At 38.5% G+C, this 25243-nt stretch overlaps 1 long non-coding RNA gene across 1 annotated transcript in view, besides 2 other annotated features; it reads right to left on the reverse strand.

Moving 5' to 3' along the window:
* LINC01218 (long intergenic non-protein coding RNA 1218) overlaps nt 1–25243 on the reverse strand; it is a 68704-nt gene that overhangs the window by 14154 nt on the left and 29307 nt on the right. The gene's annotated exons all lie outside the window — the stretch shown is intronic.
* Nucleotides 7741–7910: an enhancer, noted in NCBI's record as "experimental_71505 CRE fragment used in MPRA reporter constructs". NCBI's record gives its function as "activates a minimal promoter by MPRAs in K562 erythroleukemia cells, with activity observed for both the introgressed and non-introgressed 4:101754555 or rs35863364 variant alleles {active_cell/tissue: K562}" and the evidence as "EXISTENCE:reporter gene assay evidence [ECO:0000049][PMID:34662402]".
* Nucleotide 7826: a transcriptional cis regulatory region, noted in NCBI's record as "Neanderthal adaptively introgressed variant 4:101754555 (GRCh37/hg19 assembly coordinates) or rs35863364 in the experimental_71505 CRE". NCBI's record gives its function as "modulates activity of the experimental_71505 enhancer by MPRAs in K562 erythroleukemia cells {active_cell/tissue: K562}" and the evidence as "EXISTENCE:reporter gene assay evidence [ECO:0000049][PMID:34662402]".

Below are 25243 nucleotides of genomic sequence, written 5' to 3' on the forward strand. Positions count from 1 at the left end.
TGGTGTGGCCACGTAACTAAATAAAGTAGAATGTGTGAGGAAAAAAGATTTTGCTACCATGAGGGCTGGCCCATTAACACTCAGCATATTCAATCCCACGTTCTTTCCTTTTCCATAGAAACCTGAGAATTATATGGTAAAGATGGAGGAGCTACAAGTAAGGGGGAGTCACCCAGTGGAACAGGAACAACCATTTTAAGTTTTACTTAAGTGAGAAATAAATCCCTAGTGTGTTAACTTTCTGGCATGTATTTGTTACAGGAGCCAATCTGACCTTAATTAATTCACTTAAGAGGTTAAGTAGTTTATCTAAAGACACACAGCTTATAACTGGGGACAGCATATACCAGATCTCCAAAGTCAGTCCTGTCAATCATTAAAGCTTATTGGCAGAGAAAACCAAAGTGGTTCAGGTGTAGCCACCTGCCAAGTTATGCAGAATGGGAAACACTAGAAAGGGAGGAGGCTGAAAATACCTGAACTGTATTGTTTTAGGAAGGAAGTGCATGAAACAACCAATGTATGAGCCCTGAGAGTTTCCCACAGCTGTCATCACATCATCTTGGGCAATGCCAATTTATTAGGAAAGCAATTTTGCCTCAAGGTCTTGTCATTGATTTTCTGAAGCCTATTGTCAGTTTTACTTCTCTCTCTATGGGGGTATTGAAACAGTGACTTGTATGTTTGAAGCCTCTAATGAGGTGGTAATGGTCTTATAAACTCTCTATGGAGCTCTCACACCTCTAATTGAGAATCAGGCTTGAGACTGGGGAAAGCCCAGGAAGTATTCTCAGGTTGCATGCTCATGATGGCAAATGTTTTCTCAGAAGGCTCATGGGGCATCATTCTCTCTACCAAAGCCTTAAAGAATTAGGGCAGGCCTAACTCTACTTGGTTGAACAGAAGCTGTACATCCAAACATGAAAAACAACACCTATAATAACAACAAAGAACACATGCCTGGCACATTACTGATACCAAAGCACTTTGAAACATATAGTTTCAGTGCTCCTGGAATATATGCATTGAGATGATCTCTATTTTATTGATGAGATTCCTAAGAATCGGTGAAGTTAAGTGGCTTTACAAGAGCAGAATAAAATGAGGTGTAAACACTGTCCTCTTAACTCCAAATCCATCATAAAGCTATTGCAGCTCTGTGTGTCTAAATTCTCAAAGATTCTAGTAAGTTAACAGTAATACACATCAATGGGGCTGACTGTCACACTTTCAAAGGATGGAAGCTCACCTATAAACAAAACATCTATAGCCTATGAGTAGGGGTCTGTCCCAGGCATCATCGCTGCTTGGTACACTCAGGAGCATTGTCCTCTTTCTGCCTCTGCCAGACTCAGGGGCCTTTCAGACCTGCCAGTCTGGTGCAATCGTAGCTTACTGCAGCCTCAAGCTCCTCTGCTTTGTCGTAATTATTTGGCTATGTATGAGGCAAGCAGTCGATATGGCTTGTGTAATTAATTTTCCTAGCTGTAAAATCAGGAAGCAGAACTCTCCCAGGCTCTGAGCTTCTCTCTTCTGCTCAGGCCTCGACCTGACTAAAACCAACTGAAAGAACCCTGGCAGAGGGCAAGACAGCTTTCTCTGCTCTGCAACCCTCCCACAAGGCATATCCCAGGAATATGTACACATGCAAAGGGGAGCATCAGGTTTGTTATTTTCAAAAGGCTCATTACCACCAGTTTCATCTCAAAACCGAACTGTGAATCTGTCTTCCCACCTTATAACAGTACATGGTTTAAAAAAAAATTCAAAGATGGGCTAAAAATACCTGAGCCAAATGCAGTGCTTCTGTGAGAAGGCTGAGCACACCGGTGACATCCATGGTGAAGGCAGTGCCAACATTATATGCTACAAGTCACATCCTGATGAGTTAATTGCCCTAATTGAACATTAAGTGCAGTGGAGGAAAAGGGTATGCTAATGCATGAGACTTTACTTTTTCACACATAAAATAAAACCCCAAATAGAGATTTAACATCTTAGAAAAACGTATGCAAAGATTACTTTAAAGGAAAAAAAGAATTGCTCAGATTTGCAGATGAGGATGTCTTGTGAATAAAATATAGTCATGTTTCATAGGTTTTAAAAGAAAAAAAGGACTATTTAGCACAGTCCTGTATCCTTCCCTTTCAGCATAGGCTAGAAAAGAGTAAGTGTCCTAGAATCAGGAAGACCTAAGTTATAAATCCCTATGCCCCTCTTACTGATTATGTGGCAATTGCCAAGTTTATTAACTTCTCAGTCTTGGTTTCCACATATGTAAGATTGAGAATAATGCCTATGTCTCTCCAGCTGTTTTGAAAATGAAATGAAGCAATACAAACACACACATGCACACACAGAACCTGGAGTCATACCTAGTACATTACAGATGTTTGGTAAATGTTGGTTCCTCCTTCACTCTGCATTGCAGTGGGTTGAATCAAGAAATGGGTAGAATAAAGGAAAAGAAACATGTAGGGAAGAAGGGCATTGCAAAATCTGCCCAAAGGCTGGTCAAAATATTGGTACAGGAAACAGAAAAAAGTTCCTTTTCCTAAAAGCTTCTTCAAATGAAAACATAGTGGAATCCATTATTTTTTTCATTAGTTGAATTCTAGGCCTTCCTTAGGTGACCTCAAGTTACAACTAAAGGCGGGAAAACAGCCAGTGATGATAAAACAGGTAATATTAATTTGCTAGATCAAATATGTGTTCTTTGAAAAAAATAGTGTATATATATATATATATATATATGTATGTGCATATATGTGTGTATATACATAGATACTAATATATATAAAATACCAACATTTAAATAACTGAAAAATTGATTATAATAGAAGCATTCAAAATAAGTCCAGTGGGAAAAATAAAATTCTTACTTCAATTGCTGTTGCCTTAGAAAACCACATCTTGTCTCGCTATTTTGAGTTTTCCCCAGTATGTGCCCCAGGCAGGATCTGCAGGGTCCAGGACATGCAGAGGAAGCAAGCTCAAGAGCTCTGCATACTTAAGTAGGAAACCAGAGGTCCTGGGGGCGTCGCTGAAGGATAAGGAAGGACCTGTGCAGAGACTACAAAGAGTAGACAGGGGAAGATACAAAGTAATGTCTGTAAAGAACACAATGGTCAGAGAAAATTTTCTAGTGCTGATGTTGGCTGAGGGGTTCTTAAATCTGGGATGTGAATAGTACATATTAAACTGTATGCTGGGGCTGTATAGTAATCCTCCTTCATTGCCTTCAACCTTTAGAAAAACTCTATTCCACTCATTGCCTTCTGGTGCTACATTGAAATAAAGAGGAAGAGGTCCATTTTACCACTGGTTTTCTTCTCAATTTTTTTGAAAAGGGCAGTCCAAGCAAAGATGCAGAAAGGAACAAAAACGTGTCAACAAATAAGAAACTGGAGCAAGAGGTTACCAGGAGAAAAAAAGAGTCCCCTGAGAATTGAATTCTTGCTAATTATGGGCTAGGTGCTTGTGTCAGGGCTCCCTAACATCATCCCTAGATTCAGTGTTTTGCTGCAAGGGTTCACAGGACTCAGCATATAGTTCTACTCAGAGCTATAATTTATTACAGTTAAAAGATATAAAACAAAATCAGCAAAGGAAAAGGAACAGGAGGCAAAGTCCAAAGGAAACAAAGCTCCCAAGAGACCTCTCCCAGTGGAATCACACAGAATGTATTTGATTCCTCCAGCAACAAGTCATGACAATATGTGTGTACCAGAGAAGCTCATTAGAGACTCAGTGTTCAAAGTTTTTATTGGGGGTTGGCCATGTAGGCACCCTGTGCTTGGAACATATTGAAAATCCAGATTTTCAGAAGGAAAGTAGGTGTTCAACATAAACTACATTGTTTGCACAGTTTAGACACAGTGAGTCATTCTTAACATGAAATGTTGGGAAGCTTCCTGGAATCCGAGTTACCAGATGCCAGTCAAGAGCCAACCTTGCAAGCAGACTTTCTAAGGATGACAGACTCGGGCCTGCTTTGCTAACTCTTTTCTGCACATAGCTCAAGACAGACAGTTTTTGAAATACTTTGAGAGAAGTATGACCCTCAAATCCTGGAGGACTAAAGATGCCAAGTGTCTGTTATTTGGGTTACACAAATATTTTACAGAACTTTATTGTATAATGGGCACTATTATTTATACATTAATTTTATCTTTGCAACAATACTGAGGAGTAAGTAGTGTTATTTCACAGATAGGGAATCTGAGGTTCATCAAGGTTTAGTAACACATTCAGGGTGTCATGGAATTGTGTTTTAAACCCAGATCTACGGACTCTAAACTCACCACACTTTCCACTAATTCCCAATACCAACACCATTTCTCAGCTTGGAACTTAAATTCTCATCTTTACCTCTAATCTACCCCTTCGAGAGCGCTGTTCCCAAACCTGCCTAAATCCAATAACGCGACTATGGCAGATTGTATTTCTGAAAAATGGTACCAAGAATGTTTAGAGCTCCACTTGCTCTTCAATCCTTGCCATTTTCCAATCAGGGTGTGAAACCCATATCCCCCACCCTTGAACCTGGCCAGCATTTATGACTGGCTTAATCTATAGAATGTAGCAGAAGTGATGCTGTATGGTGCAGTTGCCAAGGCTGGGTAGTAAAATGCTATAATGTGTCCCTCTGGCACACTCTTGCTTTCTCTTGCTCTCTCTCTCTCTCTCTCTCTCTCTCAATGTACACCTTGTAGTCTGAACTGACAAGTAAAACATACAGCTACCTGCTACCCTGAAGCAACCATGCTGAAAAAATCATATGAAAAGACCACACAAAGAGAGACAGAGATATCCCAGAAGCCTCAGCCTCCAGCTATTTGCTTCTGCACAAACAAGGCACCTGAAATGCAAGTGAGTAAAACTCAGATTATTCCCAAATCTAGCCTTCCAACCACCCCGGCTAATGCCCAGTGGAACAGAAACAGACTGTTCCCACCAAGCCCTGTCCAAATTACAGACTCATGAGATAAGTAAATGCTGTTCTTGTTTTAAGCCACCTACATTGTTTAAGTTTCAGTAAGGCTCATTATGCATCAATAGATAACAGTGACACTGACAGGACAGCAGCTATATATGTAAGAAAAAGTGGGCATTTAGATATAGTTTTAAAAATTCAAATATATACATAAGCATACAAGACTGTTAAGATGTTTTATGTTTACATTGTAAATCTAATCTTTTCAAGACCAAACATCCTTTTTTTTTTTTTTTTTTTTTTTTTTTTGAGACGGAGTCTCGCTCTGTCGCCCAGGCTGGAGTGCAGTGGCGCAATCTCGGCTCACTGCAAGCTCCGCCTCCCGGGTTCACGCCATTCTCCTGCCTCAGCCTCCCAAGTAGCTGGGACTACAGGCGCCCGCCACTACGCCCGGCTAATTTTTTGTATTTTTTTTTAGTAGAGACGGGGTTTCACCGTTTTAGCCGGGATGGTCTCGATCTCCTGACCTCGTGATCCGCCCGCCTCGGCCTCCCAAAGTGCTGGGATTACAGGCGTGAGCCACCGCGCCCGGCCGACAAAACATTCTTAATAAACATAGTGCCAATAAGCAACATAATAATAAATCTGAATTTCTGAAAATAAATGTAAATTTTGAACTTTTTACATTACTAAGGAGAAAATTATTTTAATATTTTCAGACAATAAATCATATTTAAGTAGGGTCTTGTTAGTCCAATAATAAGTACCTGTCACCAAAGAATTGGGCATATGACCTCATTTAATGAAGGAGTTTCCTTCCTGGCAGACATTAGCTCCTCTGTCTGTTATATAACATCTGTTATAACTTAAAGGGCTGGGCCTCTTGAGAGGTAAAACAATTAGACCACTTGGAAAGTGGAGTCTGACCCCTGGGGGCTGAGAAGTGCTAGAAACGCATCTTTGGTTGGACAGAAAGTGACAAGTCAGGAAAACGGGGCTTTGGAGCCAGCACTTGAGGGTAGGAAAATTCCTCGACACCTAAGCTGAGGGTGGCACAAGGTAAACTAATGGGAGGGCAAAAGAAAATAGGATGTTAATGAAGTGAGAGACTATGGAGATTAGGTGTTTGTCATTACTGGAGAGAGAAAATAAAACAAGGGCATTCTACTCATCTCAGGATGAGCAGAGGTACTTCATCTACCTTTTCCGAGTAGGTCTCAGAGAAGCGACACTGCCAGAACTGCTTAAAAGTGGTTTCCCACTACTCAGTAGGGTGGCACCAAGTGGAGTTAACACACATGATGAGTCTCCAGAATACAGCCATACGCCCTTTTACCTGGACACCTGTAACCACACCTACTGCTGGGGAACAGAGGGAGAATTTCTCTTCTTATTCCATATTCATATGAAACTGACCTTGCTATTGACTTAGAAAGAATAGAATATGGCCTCAACCCAGAACACACACTAGCAGAGATAAGCAAATGGTGCTCTGCACATCTGGCTCTGTGGCCACATCTGTATGAAGGAGCCTGCAGGAGAGACCAACCTCATCTCATACCTTTTCTCCACGCTTGACCCAAGGTTTTTTAATTAAAATTAAACTTTTATAGAAACTTCTTAAAGTTCAGGGGTAGACTGTGAACCATAAATACAATAGAAAAAGTAAAATTTTCAGAACAAAAAAAGGAATTTTAATTATGATAATAATTCCAACTGTTTTTCATCCACTGTTCACCCCCAACAACTCTCAAACCTCACTCCTACAATATCTTACAGCCTCCAAGGATTGACAGTGTTTATACACAAAGAAATGCTTTTTGGTTTTTAGAAAGTTTTGAAAACAATACCTCATGCTGTTTTATTGATCTGGCCTTTTAATGGTATTTAAATATTTCTTTTCATAGACTCTTGTGATATACAGAATTCTATGATTCTCCTCCCTTAATAATCCCACTCTTGGTATACACCCCCTAATAATCCCCCACCTTGAGTGTGGGCAGAACATGTAAACGTGATGGGATAGTCACTGCGTGATTGTTACATTACACCAAGACTCATGCAAAGCAGGCTAGAGAGAGCTTCCTATGGGCTTTGAAGACATAAGCAGCCACATTTTGAGAAGGCCACTGTGTAACATCTGAAGACAAATCTTAGGAGATTAGAGCAACCTCTGACCAATGACCAGCAAGAAGACAGGAACCTCAGTCCTACAACCACATATATGTGCAACATCCTGGTGACTAAGTATTATTATTCCCATTCTACAGATGAGGAAACTGCAATCAAAAGAAGTTAATGTCACACAGCCAGTAACTGGAAGTTCTGGCATTTATATTTGTGTCTATCTTATATCGAATTATGTGCAGTTCTGGTTACATAAACATATCTTACAAATTCTAATTGGCCCTATTAGTCTTAGTTCACATCAAATTGCTCCTATTACTTACGGATAAATATTTACACCAGCCCTACTTACAAACAGTCACAGCACAGAACTTTGGGAAAGTCTGAACTTCAACCTGCACCCATGAAGAGTCATTGAAGAGATTTGCTTGTTGCTGTTTTCTTTTGTTTGAAAGGCATGCTATAATGGATTCAGTCTTTCAGGGAAATGCATATGGCCACAACTTCAAAGGACAGATTGGATAAAGGACTGGAGTCCCAGAGATCAGACAGGAGGTTATGAAACAGTCGTGGGATGAGGTATTGAAAACTTGGACAATAATGATGCAATAGAAATCAGAAGAAAAGGATATATGTGAAAAATCTTATGAAGAAACAATCAACAAGTCTTACTGGAGTGTAAGATGACCTTCAGCTCTCCAGCTGAAAGGTGCAAAATTGATTCATCTGATAGTAAAAAGAGAAAAAAAAACAAATAATAAGAAGATTACTCTGCATAATATATGCTCTTTCAATAGGTCTTAATTGTGACTAACAATACGAATACTACTAATAAAACATTTCTGCTTCGTAGATATGTTTTAGAAATCTCTGCTTAGATACAGTTAATGAGTCCAACACAATTTGGAGTGATTAAAGGTTGTATTGTCATTGTTTGTTTTTGAAATCAAATGCAAAGTACATAAACTTTTCTTGAGTTGTTCACTATTTCCTTCAGAAAGTAAAGGAGAATGTCATTTTTGGCTATATCAAAAGAACTTGCTTATGATTACTTTGTGTTAAGGGAACAAGTACTCCTTCAAGCAAGTTGCCATGTGACTTCATGCTTGCACACATACACACACACATTCTCATTTACACGCGATCATACAAGGTTTCCCAGACCTGTATGATAAATAACTCGCTTCTTCAGTACTTTTCAGGAGTGCCATGAGGCTTGGTAAATGTAAATTATTATTTGTTGGACTGTCTTAATGTAGAAACACATGAGCAAAAGGGTCAGTATTACAATAGGAAGACTGCTGACTTCACATATTTAAATAAATAATCTTAACATTGTTTCAGAGTTTCAGGGTTTTTGCAAACTTTTTGGCTCAACTCCATGTTTTAGCCTAGGCCAAGAAAATACAGAATTTACCATAGAGATGAAATTCTTTTACTTCAAGGAGAGAAATATGAAAAGAAACAACATTTGAAAAATGCTGATGAAATGTAACTTTTTCTCATAATAATTTTTTGGCATTTATGACAAAGATCCTCTGTTACTTACAACTTCCAGTGATTTTCATTCTTGGCTTAGTTGTAACCCAAAGAACTGACAGCGAAGGAATATTAATATATCTCTGAGCAGTGAGGGAGCTGTTCTTAAAGTGATACAAAGGCAATGAGAGTTTGGAACACCTCATATTTCAATGAAATTCAATTTTCTCTTACAGGTTTCACTCAGTAGCAAGAAGGCACTCATATTGTTATGCTTAGATTCTAACAGCATTTATAAAAGAGTAAATACACTCTGCAATGTTTAGAGGTTTTGTGTTACTTGCAAATGTACTTTCTTCTTGTCCAGTTCCAGTGAATTCTAACCACTGAGGCAAGACCCCAGACTTCCAGTGATTTGTAGAGAAGTATGTTACCAGTGGTTTTACGTATCCTTCATGTCTGAATCCTCTGAGTTTTGTGGAAGCATACTGCCAGGAATTTGCTTGCAGAAGGGAATAATACTTTACAGCAAATGATTAGAAGGCAAGAAGGGCAATTTCAATAGGAGAGTATGTCATAAATCACTGGAAATATGGACATTTTCTGGTATGGAGGCATTCAAAGGTTCAAGAAGCTTTATAAATTCTACAAATATTTAATACATTCCTATTGTGTGGCTGCCCTTCAAAAAGCTCCCTTCCTAGTCATGAAATCACCTCAGGCTATCTGAGGTCATAGGAGTTAGGAAACCTGAACCCTTTCTGTTAAATATTTGAGATACTGGGAAGAAAATAAAAAGGGAAAAATTTTGTTTATAGCCATTGAGGTATCTCTGTGGTGCCTTGTAGAATCATTATCAGGGGTTCTCAAATCTGAGAGATAGTTCACAAAAGCATTTTCAATCCCCTTGTACGAATGTGGGTGCTGTTGTTATTGTTGCTCTTCTAGCAATCAATAAAAAGTCAAACATATTTTAAATATGGCAAGAGCTTGAGATAATTTGAATTTTCCTAATAATACCATATTCTCTGAAAGAAGAACTTCAGCTTGTAGCAGGAAGGTTAGGGCACTCTGTTTCAAACTCAAGGTTTAGGAAAGATGTGAATATAGGTGTTAGGAGAAAACGGTTCACTTTCAGGAGCCTCCATAGTTAATTACCTACTGATATCTGCTACATTTATCAAGGTTCCACTGCAGGTTGTAACATGGCTGAGAATTAATAAAAATCTGAATCTATTTAAGCCCAAATTGGGATCTCAACTTGATATGGTTTGGCTGTGTCCCCACCCAAATCTCAACTTGAATTGTCCCTCCCAGAATTCCCACATGTTGTGGGAGGGACCCAGCAGGAGGTAATTGAATCATGGGGGCCAGTCTTTCCCATGCTATTCTCATGATAGTGAATAAGTCTCACAAGATCTGATGTGTTTATCAGGGGCTCCTACTTCTGCTTCTTCCTCAGTTTCTCTTGCTGCCACCATGTAAGAAGTGCCTTTCACCACCCGCCATGATGCTGGGGCCTCCCCAGACATTTGGTACTGTAAGTCCAATTAAACCTCTTTATCTTACCAGTCTCAGGTATGTCTTTATCAGCAGCATGAAAATGGACTAATACACAACTATTCTGTCTATTGTATTTCAAGCCTACTCACCTAGATTAAGGGGAGAATCTCAGTTCATTTATTGGGTACTTTATCTATGTCAGACAGAGTTTAACCATGTTATATAACCTCAGTAAATTCTTACAATAACACCATCAGGTATATATTATTAATATCCCCATTTTGTCAATATATAAGTGAGAATCATGCTCAGTTATTGGTGATAAAGCTGGCACTTGAACATAGAAATTATCTATTAAGAGCTGATTTTCCCATACCTGTTATCAGACACCTTGCTACTCTACTACTAGTGGAGTTTATTGGACAAATCATTTACATTAAAAAGGAAATTTATATAAAGACAGTGATGGTAAGACTATTGGTGGCATCTTTTCACAGAAATTGAAGGCCACTGAATCAAGGTGAGTCCAAGAAACTTTTCCGGGAAACTTTAAACAATTGAATAATAATAGTTCACAAAAGAGTTGACCAAAAGCCCCATCTTTCACTAGCAGTGATATTGCTGCATGGGATATCATGAAGTAACTGCTTTTTCACCTTGACTATATCAACAACAGTAACGAATGTCCAGGGGGAGATATTTTAGCCTATAATTCTATTCAGCAATAATAATTACCACTTAATTTTGCAAAAAGATTTAGGTGTTGTTTGAGGGAAAGGAGCATTGGCCATTCTGTCTATTTTGTTTGTTGGCTTTTTTGGTCTTGATTTTGGTCAATCATGTTGATAATGGCATAAAAGTAGAAGTCTGAACTTTAGTCAATAGCAAGATATGTGGTTCTATGTGTGATGTGTTCTTTGCCCTTCTGGCATTTCAGCTTTTTCATCAGGAGAAATTAAACAGGATTTTCCTCTCCCTGCAATACATTCCAGTTCCTTCCTTTTACTCCTGCCTCTCCCCAGCTCCCACCACCACATTGCTGGAGGGGCAGACTGGCCCAGCTGATCTAAATATACTCGGTTCTGATCATATTGCTTCAGAAACTGCTAGTGAAATTGAGCTGTAACGTATTAAAAATATCCAGAGATTTGACTCTCAAGGAAACAATGTTTTCTTTCTTCTAAATCCCAGGATGCCAATAGAAGAGCAAAATCAAACCTGGTAATGCAGAGACCTAAAGAAACCAGTGAAAATGATAATGATGCTTTTTTTTTCTTCCTGGGGGAAGAGTAATCCTTGTGAATTTTCCTCCTACAGAACAGAATGGTGTGGGATTCACAGGCTGCTTGCTCTCTCCTTTTTCTTGACTTCTTCAGGAACTTTGTATCCCTAGGAAAGTGTGTGTTATATAAAACAGGGTTGATTGACCTGCCTGTGATGGTAGCAGGAATTTGTAGCTTTGTTCTGTTAATCAGTGTGTGCACTCAGTTGAGGATTAGCAGAAGTTGCCAGTTGCATTAGCACTGAACCTGAGCTTCCTCAACCACTAGGGAATATAGCAAATCAATGCTCACTCACAAAGACGCCCTGATCTTATCCATACCAGCATCTCCACTCATGTTACCCACTACAGTTACCAGCCAACTGTGAAAAAGGAACAGGCACTCTGGAAATTTATCAGCCTCTCTCTTTCTTTCTCCACATCTACATCCACATCCATATCAACAGACACACACATACACACACTTGCCACATACAAACACACAATTTTCTGCAACGGTATCTCACTCCAGAAACCAAGAGCTATCATAACCAGCTATTGAAAGGGGCCTTTTAGAGATGGGAGGTAATGAGAAGATATAATTGGCCTACAATTTTTGAAGGAATCACTCTCTAAGAGATGAGTTGCTCTAAGCAAAGTAGTAGTTTATGTTCTTTATACCAGGACTTATATTCCAAACCCTATGTCTTTTTGTGTGGCCACCCTAAAGTCCAATATAGCACTGGTCACTTCTGCTAAAAAGTCAGCTCACTTTCAAACTCTGTGTGCTATGGGAGTCTTCTTATGGCGAAAAATGGCATAAACGGGGTTTCACCAAAGCCAGCTCAGGTTGCTTGTGTTTCTTTTTAGTTGCTGTTTGTTTTTTTCATGGATGCACAGAAAACTAGAGTCCACCCAAGGACTTGGAGTGAGAAGAGAAATAAATTAAGATTTCTGGGACTTTGATGAGAGCTTAGTTTTTCAGGCTTTGCTTGATCTGATTGATGACTGGAAACCCTGATGAGAGGTTGAAATGCAGAGATTCCTCCATCAAAGCTCAAGTTTTGGCATGTGCCCATTTTCCAACTCCACTTTGATTTACATGGACCTCTTATATTTTCATTGTAAATGATCAACTTTGATTTATTTAATAATTTTGCATTCTCATTTGTTATAACCAAATATTTGCATTTCAAATGCAAAAAAAAAAAAACAAAAAAAAACAAAAATAAACAAAAAAAAACAAAGGTTCTTAATGAAATTTCTAGGTTTTTATAATGCAAATTTCTCTTGTGGTCCAGCATGCTAGTCAGGAATGTCAGTGTTTCAAATTATTCCAACCTTCTTTTGTGGAGAGAAGCTTATCATATTCTACTCTTTCTACTGGTGGCTTCTTTTTGCTAAGGTTGGATTACATTTGGCTAAACACGAGGAAATTTTAAAACTGAGCCCATTTGTAAATTGGGAATTGCCTGCCAATGAAACCCATATGTAATCTCAAATCCTGATTTTCATCAGTAGTTTCAGCTTTTTCACTAAGTAAATCTATATGCCAGAATGCTCATGAGACAATCCTGAAGTGTCATTAGCATAATTGTATGGCCCCAGGGATTAAGAGGTCAACAGGTCTTGGCTGAAGTCCAGCTCTGCCACCAACTAGCTGTGTGACCTTGAGCCATTTACTTCATTTATATAAATCTCAGGTAGTAGCTCTCTCATTTGGCTTTTGTGAGGATTAAATACAGTAAAGTGTGAAGAATGCATTGTTTAATGCCTGACACATACTCAATAAATATTACCTAATGCTATGCTTCGTCCTTCAAACTTTCAAGCACGTTGAACATACATCATTGAACAAAAACCAGACTGGCATAAGATTTCTCATCAGAAAGATTCAGGCTAGCAGACAGCAGAACAATACTTTCAAAGTTTTGAGACAATGAGATTTTTAACCTAGAATTCTGTATCTGCGAAATTGTCAATAAGATATATAAATGTCCACCAGTCAACAATCTGGGACATACCTGAAGTTGAACAAGATTATGTTAAATGATATATTCTGCAGCAAGGAAGACCTCAGTCCATGGGGAGCTATGTGCAACTCTGCAAGAGGGTGTTGGGAGAAATCTTGTTATATGATTTAGGCTTGTGTTGAATTATTTTGAATAAAGTTCAAGGAAGTATGGTTTTGGCTGCTGTCGGGAGGTAGGAATAATCCTATGATTAGGTATATTAATAATTTTCATCTAGGAGTCAGGAGAAATCTAGGAGTAAGAAGAATTTTTATCTAGGATTCAGGAGAAATGGAAGAGGCAGTTCTAAAGCTTAATTCATATGGAAGTGGCGGTCATTCATGCTACTTAAAGAGAGGATGTTGGATGTCTTTGTGATTTGCTGTTGTCTGTGCTCAGACACAATTACGGTTATTCTGCTTTTATTTGCACGGTCATGGTCACAAAGTTATGTCTTTTTGTTTGTTTGTTGGTTTGTTTGTTTTCTGAGACGGTGTCTCACTCTGTCACCAAGCTGGAGTGCAGTGTCACAATCTTGGCTCACTGCAACCTCCGCCCACCAGGTTCAAGAGAATCTCCTGCTTCAGCCTCCCAAGTAACTGGGATTACAGGTCTGCACCACCATGCCTGGCTAGTTTTTTATTTTTAGTAGAGATGGGGTTTCACCATGTCAGCCAGCCTGGTCTCGAACTCCTGACCTCAGGTGACCCGCCCACTTTGGCCTCCCAAAGTTCTGGGATTACAGGCATGAGCCACCACACACATCTTGTCTGATGTTGATATTCCATGAAATTGTTTGTGTTAAATAGGAAGTATCAGTAGCAGTAACATGCCTGCCAACAGCTGACAGCATTTGTTCCTTCTCAGGTGGGAGGAAAGAATAAGGACATTTTCAAACATGCACAGACTCAGATATTTTGCCTTACAAACACTTTTTCCTAAGAGGTTACTTAAGGAGGTGCAAAGTGCAACAATGGGATGACCAAGACTAAAGAGGATTTAGAATCCAAGAAATATTGGCAGGAACCCGGGATAGCAAATATTGACCACAGAAAGGGTGAGGGGAACCTATGAGAGGAACAAAGTTCGGGAGAAGGTGAGTCAGTAGAATACCTGTCTGAAATACAGAATTGAAAATATAGGGACTATGATAAGTTAAATAAGAAATAAAAAGGGAAATTAGATACTCTAGAAAACAAATGTAATTAAAGTACCTTTTCTAGAAGTAATTAAATTCCACACTCTGAAATAGTTAAATAATGTAAACTTTTTTTATTAATTCTATTAGAAATAAACTATAGGCAGTGATTAGAACACCTCGGTGTGGATATTTTCAACCTTGACAATATAAAAATAAAATTTCAGATGACAGAAGTCTACAGGTAGGAAAGACGGAGAAGAGCTGAAGGAAATAGTAGAGCCAGTAATGTCATCAGCCTACAAATTCGGCTTCAGGAGAATCTAAGATAATTTGATGGAAGCAGTAACAGTGTTTTTAAATTACTCGAAGTTATAAAGCAATCAATAAAGAATCTGAAAACTCCTGTTTAACTGTTTAGGAGAACGCAGAAAGGGGTGGTGGTATAATGGTATAATGAGGCAAATACTCATTTATCAGATCAAGAAATCTAAATTGCTCAACAAGAAACAGAAACATAAGCATATTTATTAAAATTGTGGACGTAACAACCAGAGGAATCAGAACCAGCTAACGGAGGTAAAAGTTATTGCCTCTAAGCATCAGGTCTAGCACTAGAAAGGAATGTACCGTTTCCTCTACTAGAGATAATAACAAAGAATATAATAACAAAGGATGTTATTATCTCTAAATATTTTTTCTGTTCAATTTTTTTTCACCTACACTTTGATAAAATCTAGGTGAACAAAGAAAAGGGAGTAAAATGGGCATGGCAATTTCTTCATAAATATTTATTGAGTAAATTACTTACTTTATATTAAATATGAGAAAAATATAGCTTAGAATCAAAATTTTATCAGTATATTTTTGGACTGTCTGGATCTTCTTTATGATTTAAAACAAATGGCAGAATTTTTTAATGTAATGTTGTCATCCCAGATCCAGCTCTTAGAATTCACTAGCACATTTTCATCATGGGAAGTTGTTTTCTAACTCTGTACCTTCTGAGTAATCGGTACCATTGAAAGCAAGCAGATTGCCTTCTGCAATAAACTACATTCCCTGTGCATTCACCTAAGCCTGCACCAACCTGAAGATCAAAGAATATAGAGACTTTGAACATGACATTACCTTGCTAAGTGCAGCTCCATAGAATTCAAGACCTGTTTTAAAAAAACAGCACAGTCCACCCCACATATACCTACCCAGGCCCACAGAGATCTCTGTGAGAATGGCAACCAGACACTTGCGCCTCTCCTTTCTACTGAAAGTCTTCAGCATCTCCCATCATTATTGTTGTTTAGATTTCAAGACTTTGCTGAATCACAATGCCACTATACAGAATAATTCTGAAAGTCCAAATATAAGATTACAAAGCAGTTTTCCCCAAATGGGAATGAGGTTTTTGTTTGGAAATACTTAGTCCAGTGGTGTTTGTTTTTTGACCTCTCGGCATTAATATTTTCTTCCTAATAATATCACCTCCTTCCACTGGGTATAATTTAGTAGGTCTGTAATGGGGAAAGCTGGCCATCTCTAGCCAAGTTCATGATTCAAGGTAAGTCAATAGAAAGCTCTTTCTATAGAATCCAAATCTCTAGTAGAGGAACCAGGTTGCCCAGGTCTCAGTTCACATTAGGCTTTTCCAAGGTCAGGCTGCTCCTGCAAGACAAGGTCATTACTGCTTCTGCCACCCGACCTTCAGGGGTGCTTGAGATCTGTCTATATCCAAGATCGGGTCTCCAGCTTCCCATCAATCCTGTAAGACCGAATGGTTTTCGACTGAGTTAGCTTTTGCTACTGAGAATCAAAGAATCCTAGCTAAGCCTATAGCATAAACTGATACTTAGTACTTACTGATAGAGACTTTCACAGAGTCAAGAATAATGCTATCAATAAACTGAAGATGATATTTAATATATGAAAGTACAAAACAGAAAATAGTGACTTCTTTCCTACTGTATGATGACAACTGACTTTCAAATGTTTGTTTCTATGAGGAGCAGAACTAGAGGTGGGAAAGAACAAGGAAGAAGCTCTTGAGTGTACCCAGGATTTTGTGCAATTCTCCATGTGCTAACCACAATTCCAGGATGAATCAGAATGTAGCAATGATATTATTGTGGAAAATCATTTAAGTCTATTTATCTCTAGAAAAGAGTAAATTATTCACAAGTTATGGTAAGTTAACCATCTGAAGTAACAAATCCACTAATAGAACACTCAACTCGTCACATCCCACCAATGGTTTTAACACTGAGTTTAAGAGCCGTGATCTCATTTTTTAAATGAGATACCTTTTTAAAAAATCATCTCTTAAGGCTAATCTTATAGTAGGAAAAAAAAAGAGAATTAAATTAAGCTTTCCATGGGTCATCTAACATATAATTGCTTTACAAAGAAGAGGGTTAGGAGGTAAGAACATGGTGACAAGATAATCAAGTAAAACAAACAAATTGGTGATGGTTGTGTGGGGTGAAGACCTGAATGAGAAGGTAGTCAATAAAGAGAAAGAAAAATTTAAATATATTACACAGAGAGAAAGGATTGAAGACTGCAACTATAAATGAGGAATAAGTGAAGGGGCTGATAAAACTTCTTCAGACCTGCCACTAATAAGGAAATGTAACACAAATAGGAAAGAATTAAGGTGATATCAGCTGGGTTGAGGGTATTTGAAGATGAGGGAGATAGATAACACTTTCCAAACCATTAACATTTTAAAATTATAGTTCTAAAGAGTTGCATAATTAAATGAACATTAAAAGAGAAGCAAATAGATGTTTGAAAATGTGAGAGAAATGAGGGTGTGGAGAAAAGAGACCACTTGTACACTGCTGGTGCAAATGTAGATTAGTATAGCCATGATAGAAAACAATATGGAGGTTCCTCAAAAATTAAAAATAAAACTACCAAGTAGTCCCTCTGCTAGGTAGGTATCCAAAGGAAATGAAATCAGTATGTGGAAGAGATATCTGCACTCCCATTTTCATTGCAACACTGTTTACAATAGCCAAGATAAGGAATTAGCTTAAGTGTTTGTCCATAAAGGGAGAAAGAAGTTGTGGTATACAGGAAGTGGAGGTTGCTGTGAGCTTAGATTGCGCCACTGCACTCCAGCCTGGCCAACAATAGCAAAATTCTGTCTCAAAAAAAAAAATAATAATAAATAAAAATAAAAAGTTGTGGTATATGTACACAATAAAAAAATATCATCTTTAAAAAGTATATACTGCCATTTGCAACAACATAGATAAACCTGGAGGACATTATGCTAGCTGAAATAAGCTAGGCACAGAAAGACAAAAACCACATGATCTCACTTATATGTGGAATTTAAAGAAAGTTTGAATACATAGAAACAGACAGTAGAACAGTGGTTACCAGGGCCAAGGACATCGGGGAAGGAGGAGGAAATGGAGAGACGCAGATCAAAGGGTACAAATTTGTAGTTATGTGGGATGATTAAGTCTAGAGATCTAACAGAGAGCATGAGGACTATAGATCATTATATTGTATACTGAAAATTTGCTAAGAGAGTAAATTTTCGGTGCTTTCATCACCAAAAAAAGATAACTATGTAAGGTGATGGATAGGTTAATTTGCCTAACCATAGTGATCATTTCACTGTGTATATGTGTATTAGAACAGCACGTGTACACCTTAAATATATACTATAAAAATTTGTAGACAATCATCATAAAATCAGAGGAATTCTGTTGTAATTCATCAAAATTACATAAGAAGTATTGTTTTCTGAATAATATAGACAACCAAAGTCAATTTTCATCTCAAATAAAACAGACTTTTCATATAAAATATAAAAATAAAGTACTATCACTTTTTACCATATTTTAAGTATGACAGTTTCAAAGACTTCTGAATAAATATTTGTAGTCAACTCACTTAATTGTTTTTTTGAAAAACATAAAAGAATAGAGTTCTTTCCCTGTTGTTTGTTTTTATCAGTCTTGTCAAAGCAGAAAAGAAACCACCCCATTGAGTGAAGGATATGAACATCCACTTCTCAAAAGAAGACATGTAACTGGCCAACAAACATATGAAGAAATGCTCAGTATTACTGATCATCAGAGAAATGCAAATTAAAACCACAGTCAGATACCATCTCACACTAGTCAGAATGGCTATGATTAAAAAGTCAAAAAACAACAGATGCTGGCCAGGTTGCAGAGAAAAGGGAATGCTAATGCACTGTTGGTGAGGATGTAAATTAGTTCAGCCATGGTGGAAAGCAGTCTGGAGATTTCTCAGAGAACTTTAAACAGAGCTACCATTTGACACAGCAATCCCATTACTGGGTATATACCCCCAAATAAATAAATCTTTCTACAAAAAAGTCACATGTACTCATATGTTCATCGCTGCACTATTCACAATAGCAAAGACATAGAATCAATCCAGGGGCATATCAATGGTATATTGGGTAAAGAAAATGTGGTACATGTACACCATAGAATACTACTGAACCATAAAAAGAATGAAATTACGTTCTTTGCAGCAACATGGATAGAATTGGAGGCCATAATCCTAAGCATATTCATACTGGAACAGAAAAACAAAGACTGCATGTTCTGTTTATGAGTGAGAGCTAAATATTGAGCACATAAGGAAATAAACATGGGAATGACAGACACTGTGGACTACTAGAGAGTGGGGGGGTGGGCGTGGTGAGTTTAAAAACTACCTGTCAGGTACTATGCTCACTATCTGGGTGACAGGATCCATATTCCAAACTTCAGCATCCCACATAATAAATCTGTACATGTACCCCTACATCTAAAATAAAAGTTGAAATAATAAAAGTAAGTGCAAGATGAATTGCAAATTTGGTGAGCAGGTAACCATCTCATAAAATAACACTTAAGACTTTATTCAATGTATTTGAGTTGGCTGGAAAATTGGCTGGCAAGCTATAAAATAAATGGTAAAAAAACAGTGACATTTTGAGTACTTGATGAGGTGCCCCAGGAACCAGTATTAATTCAACCTCACTTTATGTACAAACAGAACACTGCCGTCACTGAGGCAGTAACTGAACACAAATACTCAAAGGGACATTTTCAAAATCCTTATGAGTCTAGGTCATCAACCTTAACTATACTTAAATTGAATGGGTTTTGGTAACAACTTACTTCTATTTAGTTTCTTTTGAAAAACCTTCAAGTAGTCAGGCCTCCAACAAAAGTAGTTAAATTTAATAAATTAAACTTCTGCTCGCTGCATTTGTTTCCATTTTCAGATGGAATGTAGTTGGGAGAGGAGGTAAAGAGACTCTTCTTCTGGCAGTGAAAGAAATCCCAGAAGAGGGACATGTGGAAGGCAACACAGAGGGCCCAGGTGGCAGACAGCAGTGAGAGATGGATGCTCAAAGCAAGTCCATGCCAGCTTCCCATTTTGCTGCAAGACATTAGGGAATTGAAAATTCACTTCCTCTGGAGAATTATGTAGCCAATTAAATGTGAACATTCTTCACACCTGTTCCTGTTCATAGGGCAATGGGCTTCGACATACGTGAGGAATACAGTCATATAAATCTCAAGTTGCATTGAGAAATTGATTTTATTTTTGTAAAACACTACCCTGAATCACACAGTGCCTCAACTGTTCCACCTGTAAACACAGAAAACCTTTGTCTACACAGTCCTCACAGAGATGGATTCATAGTCTACAAAGGGCTTTTCCTTAGAGAAATGAATTACATGAACCCAAGATTTTCCTAACCTATTAATAAGATCTTGACTTCCCCCCAAAAATTATGGGACTAATGTGATCTTCCAGCACACCAGCTGCATTCCAGATAAAAATATTATCAATTTTGAAGTTACTTGTTTGAAGAAGATTTGGCAATTTCCCTTAATAACTCAGTCTAATATAATTATGTACCTGACAAAAATGTTCATTATGTAAAAAAGAGAGGTGGAAAACAATCACTAGGCAATTGAAGTGAAATGCAGGCCTAGCTAATTGTGAAGAGATGTAATTAACTAGTTTATGTTCCTGAGATGAGTGGCTTAAATATAAAAGAATGAATTTTAAAAATTTCAGTCCCTCACGCCTGTAATCCCAGCAGCATGGGAGGCCAAGGCAGGCAGATCGCAAGGTCAGGAGATCGGATCATCCTGGCTAACACGGTGAAACCCCCTCTCTACCAAAAATACAAAAAATTAGCTGAGCATGGTGGCGGGCGCCTGTAATCCCAGCTATTCGGGAGGCTGAGGCAGGAGAATCTCTTGAACCCAGGAGGCGGAGGTGGCAGTGAGCCAAGATTGTACCATTGCACTCCATCCTGGGTGACAGAGTGAGACTCTGTCTCAAAAACAAAAATAAAATTCAGTCCCAAATGAGTAATGTTACCCTAATGGTCATATTTGTTTTGTTTAATTTTTATGAGGCATATTCCATTTTTTATTTGAACATAATGAGTTTTTTTCTGTGTTTACCTTTCCACATGAGAGAGACTTTTTGACACCACTTGCACTCTGTCACCCTGGTTTTTGTCACACAGGGGTTTACCCTCCCTGGCCCCGCACACTGCAGTGACCATGGACATGCATTCCCTGTCCCTACAACCTGCCACTCAGCACACACTCAGAAGAGAGTAGCAGGAGCAGCAGAGGAAAGCAATGAGAGCTTATATTCCAGGTGGGAAGACAAGCTTCTGCATAAGCTTATCACATGTGCTCCCCACTCTTCTCCGCTCCCTTGTCACCTCTGCATGCATTAAAATTCCCTAATTTTTAAAAATCTTTCTTTCTTTCCCATCTACTGATATGTTCCTAATAGGTAAACAACTAAAAGAGAAATCTAGTGCTCAGTCTCCTAAATGTGAGTCTCTCCCTGCTCCATGCTGCCCTATTCACCACCCCAATCATGTACATCAGCTGGATTGGTGTGGCCAGCCAGCTCCTCAGCCAGGCATCAAAGGCCCTACATGGAAACTCCTAGTTAGGTGGGTGACATTAGCTTACACTGATCCCCTTGATTCTTACTTTTAACAACATCCATCTCTTTGAATTCCTCAGGGTCAACAAATTAGATTTTTCTTTCATATGAAATAGTCCTCTTTCTCAACAGAATTACTGTAAAAATTCTGCCAATCCTTCAAAGCCTGGTTTAAATGTTACCTGTTTCCTCTATGAAAAATGTTCTCATCTCTACAAGTAGAAATTATCTGCATCTCTTTTTTTACTCTTATCATCATCATCATCTTTAGAATACTTTAATAGTTTCAGATTCAGGCTGGCACCATATAATATTTATGTCTGTATCCAATACCCTCTATTAAAGTCTAATCCCTTGGAGGTCACGGTGCCTTGTCTAGAATATATGCCTCCTCATTGTTGAGCAAGTAAATGATTAAGTTCCTCCTTTACTGTTTTCTCATTCAGTTCTGCCAATGACAGCATGAGATGAAAGGGTGAAAGGAGTACGGACTAAGAAAAGCAGGGCATGTTAAGGGCCAAAAGTAACTTCTGTCTTTTGCCTCATTTGCTAATTTCTTCTGTATCACTATAACATTCTGCTCAGTAGGGGGCAGAAAGTAAACTTGGTGTGGCAGGAATAGAAAATGGAGGTGTAATATGTAAGATTGCAAGAAAGGGGAAAACTTAACATTTTTTATCTCTTTTAGTCCCATAATTTATTTTATTTTCAATTTTCTACAGGAGACACTAGAGCAAGGCAGAATTATTCATGTTTTAAAAGGTATATTGAATTCTATTCTCTGTTCCCAAGATGAAGCTAGTAGAAAATCAGTCAACCAGCAAGCAGGCAAGGAGGGAGAACCTCCTCCCTCCTCTTGTCATATGCCTCTTTCCCTGAAGTTACTCCTGTTCAAATGAAACAATGGTTCTTCTCAAATCTACTGGAATCAGAACACACACACCTGTCATGTGTGTATGTTAGTACGGTGTAACAAATCAGCCAGTCGACAAATGTTCACTCACTGCCTATGATGCATCAGGAAGATTGCAGGCCCTTGGGGATGCAAAGGAGAACCAAACAAACAGCTACCACCCTCCTGGAACTACTTCTGCTCTCAACATTGCCAACAGTCTTCACACAAATAATTTAAATAATTGGAAATATGCAAAGTGTTATTTAATATAAGTATCACACACAGGTGTGGCGGCCAGTCTTTCCATGTATGTGTGAGTGATCATGGGCAAAGACAACAGCTTTAAACATATTTATTAAGCACTTACTGGTAATCCTACATTAAAGGCCCTTAGCATAATGCTTGGCACACATTAAGTATTGAATAAATGACATGGAATATATAAATTGCTCCTTGCTAAGGAATTACGTATTTCCACTTATAAAGTCTACTTCTCATTTCAGTCAAATTAGACTAAGAATATTAGAAAAGCCATTCATTCCACTTTTGGTGGATGTATCACCCCTAAAAAGTGGTGTACAAATTGTCAAGGGTCCTAACTGATGTCAAGAGTCTCTCTTCTTTTTCTCCTCATTAAAATTCTGATACAAGGTCTCTACAGGCTCAATCCCTGGGTTACAAGTGAGAGAGTAGCAAGGGCACCAGATTTAGAGTTAACTGGATTTGGGTTTATGCTGTGCTCTACCAGTGATTTGGCCATGAGACCTAAATCATCTGTAAAACAGAGATAGTAATATTGACTGCATACAACTTCTATAAGCCTGAGATGAGAAAGCACACAAAAGGACCCATGATATTTACTGGCAGGGATACTTGAGATATTCTCTGAGGACAAACAAGGTTCCATCCACTATTTAGAGGCCATTGATGCCAAACCAGCTATGCACTGATATCTTCCAAGAATAAAGGGAATGTGCTTTGTCCGAAGCACATTCTAAGCACAGACACTAACTAGTGATTTACAATGTGGCTCATGGAAACAGACTGGGCCTGCCTGCGATTGTGCCTGTTAAAATGCCCAAAGAGTACTGCCCTTCCCACTTAGAGCTCAAGAGAAATACAAAGACACCTCAAGAGTGGACCTGCTGTCACTCTTTCATTGACAGCTAGATGGCAGGCCCTGTGGTTGCCTCACTTGCAGTCTCATTCCTAACCCTCAACTTGTGGCCTCCTTTATCACACCCTACAGTTTCTAAATTGCTTTGCAGGATTTTCTAAGGACTATTCTGTGAGAACATCTTGGGCTGCTGGATGTGTGCATGCACTTGCACAAATATGAAACAGAGAGCTGGTCCAGGCAGAAGGACTTACATATTTTTTTCTCAAATAACATATTTGAGTATTAAAAGCAATGTATTCTGTTCTCCTGCTAACAAAGAATAATAAAACCAGAGTGTTGCCTTCCCAGCAGCTCTTGCCTTTGAATCGTGCAAAGCAGAAATGATCCTTGGTTTGTAGGCAGCAACAGCCTCCAGAAGCTATGGGAACATTGCCAAGAGCCCTGAAAAACCTCCACAGCTAATTGGGAACTGGCTTATTAGTGACACTTTTGAGAGTCAGGTTGTCATTGAAGAGAAACGAAGGAGAACACAGTGGGCGCTGTAGCCTGGAATTAGGCAGTGGGAGGAGGGAGGGCTGGTCCCTGCTCCTTGCAAGAACATTGCTCTGTAATTTTCTCAAACAGTGTGCTCAGCTGGCTTGCAAAAGCACTAGATCCTGGGATGCTGCAGACAACACCTTAGCCTCCACTCTTCCTTGAACACTGCCCCTTCCATACACATTCGGAGATCCCTGTGGCCATGTCAAAGGTACCGTGAATTTGTTAACACAACTGAGAAAAACATGTCATGCCCTCTTAGTAGCCTTTGGAACATGTATCTACATCATTTTGTGTGTGTAGCCAACTGAAAGTGTTTTATTTCACAGTGATTAGACAATTCCAGCCGCAAAGAACTCCTGATTTTTTGTATAAACATTAAAAACACACAAAAAAAGGAGAAATTAGTTAAAGAACTCACAATTTTTATTTAGCTAACTTAAGTCAAAATGCCAGGTAGGTCAATTAATTAGGAACCATCACAAGAGATAAATATGACTAGCAGTTTCTATTAAAACCCCTGATTTTTAAAAGAAAGTTAAGGACACTGATGATCAGTGTCAGGCCAGCAGTCAAGCAAAATGCTGTGTCCTGAGAGTCACCTTTGAGCAACTAGCAAGATGTTGTTCTGATAACAAAGTGGGTTTCTCAGTTCCCTCCCCATTGGGCTGATGGTGATTGATCTGGATAACCTTTTCTGATTTCTTTGCTAAAATTCTAGCCCTCACCCAATTTTTAAAAAATTTTTAAAAAGAAGAATCCGTGTCATTCTTCATTAGCAATGAGAGCTATGTAATGTGGATAAGCATATACCACATCCATTTGCTGTGCTCCCTGCTGGATTAATTGATGGAATTGAGTTGCCACCCTGCTAGAAAGAACAAAGACTAGATCCTGGAATTAACTCCTGAAGTTCTACACTGGTGTAGGGAACAACCCAACTCTTTTCCTGATGGTACTAGAAGTCCATCTGAGTACAGAGAAACTGGAACACGGAAAACATAGTTTATAGCCACCTGTTTGTTGTCTTACTCCATAAATTGCCTCTTGTTTCTCCTTTAGCAAATTCATTCTTCTCTTCTCATAATAATGATTCAGGATTTGCCCATTTTCTAATTCAGCTCAACCTGTGACACAATGGGTTCCCCGAATCTTAAGGTAACTCTATTTGTTTCTCTAACTCTTGCTGTTAACATCATACACACACATACACATAGACACACACACATGCATTTTAGTGGTAGACAATATTGGGTTGATTGCCTACCTAAT

The sequence above is a fragment of the Homo sapiens genome, chromosome 4 (assembly GCF_000001405.40).
Source record: "Homo sapiens chromosome 4, GRCh38.p14 Primary Assembly".
In the NCBI taxonomy this organism is placed as follows: Eukaryota; Metazoa; Chordata; class Mammalia; order Primates; family Hominidae; genus Homo; species Homo sapiens.